We start from the raw sequence: 7865 nt of genomic DNA, 5'->3' as shown, positions 1-7865 counted from the left end.
TTTATTGAAGTATAATTGACATATAAAAAGCTGCACACTATCTTTTCTTTAATGCCTAGCACAATGGAAAGTAGGTGAAAAAATACTTAGTAAAATAGTGATGTTTTCCTAATTTATTTTAAATTATTCCATTTACAAAACTAAAACTGAAAAAAACTAGAAAGCTAATGAAACCAGTTGATTACTGGATCATGTATAGAACAAACTATAAATCCTATAGTTTTAGATAAATCACATCACAACTTGAATTGCTCAGCTTTCTCTACTTAAAATCATCCCCCAAGGTCTTCAGTATGTAGAATAATGAAAAACAGGAAGTTGAGAAAAACCACTTTGCTTAGAAAAACAAGTGTCACTGCTGACCAATATTTCCCTGTTTTCCCATGCCAATCTTCCTCAGACAGAGAAACAAGTATACTCGTGAAGCATCAGTGACTAAGTGTATATGAAATCTGAATCACAAAATTTCAGGAACTAAAAATGTTTTAATGAAAACATACTTAATATTCATTAATATCAAGATAATTAGAACTATCATTGTACTCTCTTATTGGTATTCTTTTTTTATTTTTTTAAAGGCAAGGTCTCACTCTGCTGTCCAGTCCAGAGCTCAGTGGAATGATCATGGTTCACTGCAGCCTTGATCTCCTAGGCCCAAGAGATCTACCTGCCTCAGCTTCCTGAGCAGCTGGGACTGCAGGCACACACCACCTCATCAGGCTAATTTTTTTTTCTTTTTTTTGAGACAGAGTCTCGCCCTGTCACCCAGGCTGGAGTGCAGTAGCGTGATCTTGGCTCACTGCAACTTTTCCTCCCAGATTCAAGCAATTCTCCTGCCTCAGCCTCCTGAGTAGCTGGGATTACAGGCACCCACAACCATGCCTGGCTAATTTTTGTATTTTTAGTAGAGACAGGGTTTCACCATCTTGGCCAGGCTGGTCTTGAACTCCTGACCTCAGGTGATCCACCCACCTCGGCCTCCCAAAGTGCTGGGATTACAGGCGTGAGCCACCGTGCCCGGCCTTTTTTAAGTTTTTCGTAGAGATGGGGTCTCACTATGTTTCCCAGGCTGGTCTTGTACTGCTGGCCTCAAGCAATCCTTCCACCTCAGCCTCTCAAAGTGTTGGGATTACACATGTGAACCACCATGCCAGGCCACTCTTTATTTATTAATATCAAGATAATTAGAGCTATCACTGTACTCTCTTATTGGTACTCTTATAGAATTAGGGTTAATTTTCAAAGAGCAGGTCAATGTGATGGTGCCAACACATTTTTACAATTTTATAATTAATCAAGCTTTAACAGACTGAAATTAAGAAGTTGTAATAATGTTTTATGAGAATAAAGCATGGAATTACTGATTAGATAAAATTTTGTTTTATATCCATATCTCTTATATTGTTTAAAGCTTAGTCTTGAACACAAAAAGATTTTTTTGTTTTTAATACAGCAGGTGAGTTGTTATACACTCCTTAGCAGACTCTGACTTCCATGACCACCACCCTACCAAGATTTTGGCTATTTGAGTTGCAAAGACACAAATGAGATTATTTATAAACAGCTTTCATAATTCATGAAATTCATTAATTCAATAACTGTTTTAATTTTTTAAAATTAATACTCTGCTTTTATGGTGCCATATTCAACTGAAAGTTTTCTTTGGTATGTAGGTCAAAAACTACAAGGAAGAGAGCCAGCAGCCAAAAATATCAAGACCATCAATAATGACAAATCAAACAAGTGGCAATACTTAGCAATAATAGAACAAATAAACAACAGAATGTTAATCTGCAAAAATGAAAAGGAATTAACTGATATATGCAACAACACTGATGAATTTCAAAAACACAGGGAGTGACAGAAGCCTTATACAAAATAGGACATATATATGACTCAGTTTATAAGAAATTTTAGAACAGGTGAAACTAAAAAAAAAAAACTTTGAAATATAAAACTCTAGTTAATGGTATATGTGTTGAAATATTTAGAGAGAAGCATATTGATGTCTACAATTTACTTCGAAATGCATCCAAAAAACAGATGAAGTAATGCACGAACAGAAGAATAAATAGATAAAACAAGTGCAGTAATATGTTAATGATAAAACCTTGGTGGTAAATATATGGGTGAACACATAACATATGTTTAAAACTTTTCGTAATAAAATGTAGGGGCTGGGCACGGTGGCTCAAGCCTGTGATAATCCCAGCACTTTGGGAGGCTGAGGTGGGTGGATCGCTTGAGGTCAGGAATTCAAGACCAGCCTGGCCAACATGGCGAAACCCCATCTCTACTAAAATATAAAAATTAGCTGGGCATGGTGGCGGGTGCCTGTAATCCCTGCTACTCAGGACGCTGAGGCAGGAGAATCGCTTGAACCCAGGAAGCAGAGGTTGCAGTGAGCCAAGATCATGCCACCACACTCCAGCCTAGGTGACGGAGCAAGAGTCTGTCTCAAAAAAACAAAAAAAAAGGTAAGAAAAAAGTATCAGTTCGCCAAGTTATACCCATAGAGATGAATTATATCTTGGACAGTTAAAAAAACTTTCAAATGAATTAAAACATTAAAATGGGTTACATATTAAATAACATATTCTTTAAAAGCAGATTTCTGGTATTTTTAATATTGGTCATAGTCTAAGGACTAAAGGAACTTTTAAGGCTCACCAACTACTTAATTCCCAAAGCAAAAGAAGCTCTGTTACCAGACCTATAAATAATAACCAACCAATGCTACAGTAACAATCACCGGCCCTCACTGACTATACTAGGAAATAAAGAAAGAGCAAAAAAATTTCTTGACAATATATATATTTGAGAACCCACTATGGAGATTATACTCAAATAAGGATAGGCCAAATATAAAAATACTGATGAAAGGTTAGCATAATAGTGGAATGTGTAAACGGTAAGAACGCATAAGAAAATCCTTTCCCTGAACATTGGTCCTGCCATTTTATAATTAACAATTTATGTTACCTTAAATAGGAGAGAAGAAAATAATTTACAAAAGGTTCAAGACAGTTTTTAAAAAGCAGTTTAAAAGTACTTGGAAAAAAATTATTACTTAATCTCAAGAAGAAAATAATAGTCTTGAAGTCCTCTACGAAAAAAAATTACTGTCCCTATAAATGAGTACAAGTGAAGGTTACATTAAACTAAACCAAGAGCGACCTGAGTTAGATGTGAAAATAAAATGTCTTCAGCCAGGCATAGTGGCTCACACCTGTAATCCCAGCACTTTGGGAGGCCAAGGCAGGCAGATCACCTGAGGTCAGGAGTCTGAGACCAGCCTGGCCAACATGGCAAAACCCCATCTCTACTTAAAATACAAAATTTAGCCAGGCATGGTGGCGGGCACCTGTAATCCCAGCTACCTGGGAGGCTAAGGCAGGGGAATTGCTTGAACCCAGGAATGAGAGGTTGCAATGAGCCGAGATTGCGCCTCCAGCCTGGGCAGCAGAACAAGACTCTGTTTCAAAAAAATAAAAATAAAATAAAGTGTTTTACCTTGTACCAAACAATTGACATTTACTTTTGCATAAACCAGTGACAGAAACAAAATTATATTTGTCTATCATTACCATGAAGGTGGGTGATCCACCGGAGTAAGACCCAAAAATTAAGAGTGACAATTTATTTTTATTTTTTACTTTTTTCTGGTAGAGCAGTCAGAAAGAAAATAGGAACAATTTAATATTTTATCTGGAAAGAGAAAATAGCATGACATATTTCCCAGTAAGACTTTAGTCTAGATGATGGAATACAACACTACATCTTTTAATGTGAATACAGGAGAAATTATGTCCTGTGTAAACTTTATGTAGTGTAAATTATATAGTGTAGGTTATCATAATTGTTAGGATTAAGGTCATAGTGTTAATTATACTTTGTCATTATATAATTTTGAAAATCAGATAATTTACATATACATATATCAAGTTCATAGACAGAGTAAACTATTTACAACCAATGGTTTAATGCACTTACAGTTCCTTGTGTTTGTCTTCAGCCAAGATTTGGTCATTTGGTTTCAGAGAATACCTGTATAACAGAAACGAAAATTACACTCTTCATACACACACAGTGTCAACGTAAGTTAGCTGACCTCTTCAAAACAAGCACTCCAACACTGTTATAGGTCTCTGACTTAATTGATAAAACACCAAGAATGCCCAAGTAGACGGTTTTTTGCTGTTCTATTAGTCATTTCCAGGAACACCACTCCAGGAACTGAAAGGAGATCACCTTAACAATGCTTTGAAGATCTTCAATATTCTTCTGTAGTGAATCATCTGTAATGTCACACTTATTCAGCAGTTCAAAACTGATGGAACAACTACAACGTTAAGTATTTTGGACTTCACAAATAATATGTAAATCATTCATTAAATATATAGTAATCATATACTGTGAACCAGGCTATGTACTAAGTAGCATGACACAGGAGGGAAAGAAAAGCTTTGGAGGGTTTGTGTGTTTTTTGTTTGTTTGTTTATTTGTTGAGATAGAGTCTCACTCTGTCACCAAGGCTGGAGTGCAGTGGCACGATCTTGACTCAGTGCAACCTGTTCAAGCGATTCTCCTGTCTCAGCCTCCCCAGAAGCTGGGATTACAGGCACGCACCACCATGCCTGGCTAATTTTTGTATTTTTAGTAGAGAAGGGGTTTTAACATGTTGGCCAGGCTGCTCTGGAACTCCTGACCACAAGTGATCCAACCACCTCAGCCTCCCAAATTGCTGGGATTACTGGCATGAGTCACCGTACCCGGCCTCAAGTTTTGGAGTTTTTGATTGACCATTTACTAGCTAAGTGACCATAGGCAAGTACTCTACATCTTTAAGTCTCAGTTTCTCTGGTCATAAAATACAGGTTGCTATAAATACTAGATCAGGGATCTTTCACAGTACCATATATTTGTACTGCTGAAGGTAAACAGACTTTCTGAAGGGTACACAGAAATAGATAAACAACAATGGACAACAATTCCCAGGTCTTCAATTCTCATTCATACTCAACCCTTTCATAAAATTTAAAATTAATCTGCCTGAAAATGGATCATAGGTCCATTTGAAAGGTCATGTTGATTTTCCTCTCTGGTCTCCTCTTTCACAAGTACCTTTAAACCCACTGCTATGGTTTGAATATTTGACCCCCCTCAAATCTCATGTTGAAATTTAATCCCCAACGGGGCAATATTGAGAGCTGGGGCCTTTAAGAAGTAATTGGATCATGAGAGCTCCACCTTCATAAATGGATTAATCCATTCATGGATTAATGGGTTATCATGGGAGGGGAGCTGGTGGCTTTAAAAGAAGAGAAGAGACCTGAGCTACCATTAGCAGGTTCAGGCCCCTTGCCATGTGATACCCTGCACCACCTCAGGAATCTGTAGAGTCACTATCAGCAAGAAGGTTCTCACCAAGTGCAGCCCTTTGACCTTGGACTTCTCAACCTCCATAACTGTAAGAAATAAATTCCTTTTCTTATAAAATACCCAGTTTCAGGTATTCTAAGTAACAGAAAATGGCCTAAAATTCACTTTTTATTTATTTTTATTTTTTTATTATTATACTTTAAGTTTTAGGGTACATGTGCACATTGTGCAGGTTAGTTGCATATGTATGCATGTGACATGCTGGTGTGCTGCACCCACTAACTCGTCATCTAGCATTAGGTATATCTCCCAATGCTATCGCTCCCCCCTCCCCCCACCCCACAACAGTCCCCAGAGTGTGATGTTCCCCTTCCTGTGTCCATGTGTTCTCATTGTTCAATTCCCACCTATGAGTGAGAATATGCGGTGTTTGGTTTTTTGTTCTTGTGATAGTTTACTGAGAATGATGATTTCCAATTTCATCCATGTCCCTAAAAAGGACATAAACTCATCATTTTTTATGGCTGCATAGTATTCCATAGTGTATATGTGCCACATTTTCTTAATCCAGTCTATCATTGTTGGACATTTGGGTTGGTTCCAAGTCTTTGCTATTGTTAATAGCGCCGCAATAAACAAACGTGTGCATGTGTCTTTATAGCAGCATGATTTATAGTCCTTTGGGTATACACCCAGTAATGGGATGGCTGGGTCAAATGGTATTTCTAGTTCTAGATCCCTGAGGAATCGCCACACTGACTTCCACAATGGTTGAACTAGTTTACAGTCCCACCAACAGTGTAAAAGTGTTCCTATTTCTCCACATCCTCTCCAGCACCTGTTGTTTCCTGACTTTTTAATGATTGCCATTCTAACTGGTGTGAGATGATATCTCACTGTGGTTTTGATTTGCATTTCTCTGATGGCCAGTGATGGTGAGCATTTTTTCATGTGTTTCTTGGCTGCATAAATGTCTTCTTTTGAGAAGTGTCTGTTCATGTCCTTCACCCACTTTTTGATGGGGTTGTTTGTTTTTTCTTGTAAATTTGTTTGAGTTCATTGTAGATTCTGGATATTAGCCCTTTGTCAGATGAGTAGGTTGCAAAAATTTTCTCCCATTTTGTGGGTTGCCTGTTCACTCTGATGGTAGTTTCTTTTGCTGTGCAGAAGCTCTTTAGTTTAATTCGTCAATTTTGGCTTTTGTTGCCATTGCTTTTGGTGTTTTAGTCATGAAGTCCTTGCCCATGCCTATGTCCTGAATAGTAATGCCTAGGTTTTCCTCTAGGGTTTTTATGGTTTTAGGTCTAACGTTTAAGTCTTTAATCCATCTTGAATTGATTTTTGTATAAGGTGTAAGGAAGGGATCCAGTTTCAGCTTTCTCCATATGGCTAGCCAGTTTTCCCAGCACCATTTATTAAACAGGGAATCCTTTCCCCATTGCTTGTTTTTCTCAGGTTTGTCAAAGATCAGATAGTTGTAGATATGCGGCGTTATTTCTGAGGGCTCTGTTCTGTTCCATTGATCTATATCTCTGTTTTGGTACCAGTACCATGCTGTTTTGGTTACTGTAGCCTTGTAGTATAGTTTGAAGTCAGGTAGCGTGATGCCTCCAGCTTTGTTCTTTTGGCTTAAGATTGACTTGGCGATGTGAGCTCTTTTTTGGTTCCATATGAACTTTAAAGTAGTTTTTTCCAATTCTGTGAAGAAACTCATTGGTAGCTTGATGGGGATGGCATTAAATCTCTAAATTACCTTGGGCAGTATGGCCATTTTCACGATATTGATTCTTCCTACCCATGAGCATGGAATGTTCTTCCATTTGTTTGTATCCTCTTTTATTTCATTGAGCAGTGGTTTGTAGTTCTCCTTGAAGAGGTCCTTCACATCCCTTGTAAGGTGGATTCCTAGGTATTTTATTCTCTTTGAAGCAATTGTGAATGGGAGTTCACTCATGATTTGGCTCTCTGTTTGTCTGTTATTGGTGTATAAAAATGCTTGTGATTTTTGTACATTGATTTTGTATCCTGAGACTTTGCTGAAGTTGCTTATCAGCTTAAGGAGATTTTGGGCTGAGACAATGGGGTTTTCTAGATATACAATCATGTCGTCTGCAAACAGGGACAATTTGACTTCCTCTTTTCCTAATTGAATACCCTTTATTTCCTTCTCCTGCCTGATTGCCCTGGCCAGAACTTCCAACACTATGTTGAATAGGAGTGGTGAGAGAGGGCATCCCTGTCTTGTGCCAGTTTTCAAAGGGAATGCTTCCAGTTTTTGCCCATTCAGTATGATACTGGCTATGGGTTTGTCATAGATAGCTCTTATTATTTTGAGATATGTCCCATCAATACCTAATTTATTGAGAATTTTTAGCATGAAGGGTTGTTAAATTTTGTTAAAGGCCTTTTCTGCATCTACTGAGATAATCATGTGGTTTTTGTTTTTGGTTCTGTTTATATGCTGGATTACATTTATTGATTTG

General features: G+C 37.6%; 1 protein-coding gene across 13 annotated transcripts in view, besides 1 other annotated feature; it reads right to left on the bottom strand.

Annotated features, from left to right (window-relative positions):
- Window positions 1-7865, bottom strand: part of ADK (adenosine kinase) — a 558070-nt gene that overhangs the window by 480706 nt on the left and 69499 nt on the right. For 12 of the 13 annotated variants that reach the window (NM_006721.4, NM_001369123.1, NM_001202450.2 and 9 more), the window contains exon 3: window positions 3994-4047. The exons of the other annotated variant lie outside the window; for it this stretch is intronic. In NM_006721.4, the coding sequence (NP_006712.2) occupies window positions 3994-4047 (54 nt within the window). The remainder of the gene's footprint in view (window positions 1-3993; window positions 4048-7865) is intronic. 13 annotated transcript variants of the gene reach the window in all.
- Window positions 599-648: an enhancer, noted in NCBI's record as "active region_3594". NCBI's record gives its function as "activates an Ori minimal core promoter by ATAC-STARR-seq in GM12878 lymphoblastoid cells {active_cell/tissue: GM12878}" and the evidence as "EXISTENCE:reporter gene assay evidence [ECO:0000049][PMID:35858748]".

This window comes from Homo sapiens, chromosome 10 (genome assembly GCF_000001405.40).
Source record: "Homo sapiens chromosome 10, GRCh38.p14 Primary Assembly".
Lineage (NCBI taxonomy): Eukaryota > Metazoa > Chordata > Mammalia > Primates > Hominidae > Homo > Homo sapiens.
This window is presented reverse-complemented; position numbering and strand designations above follow the sequence as displayed.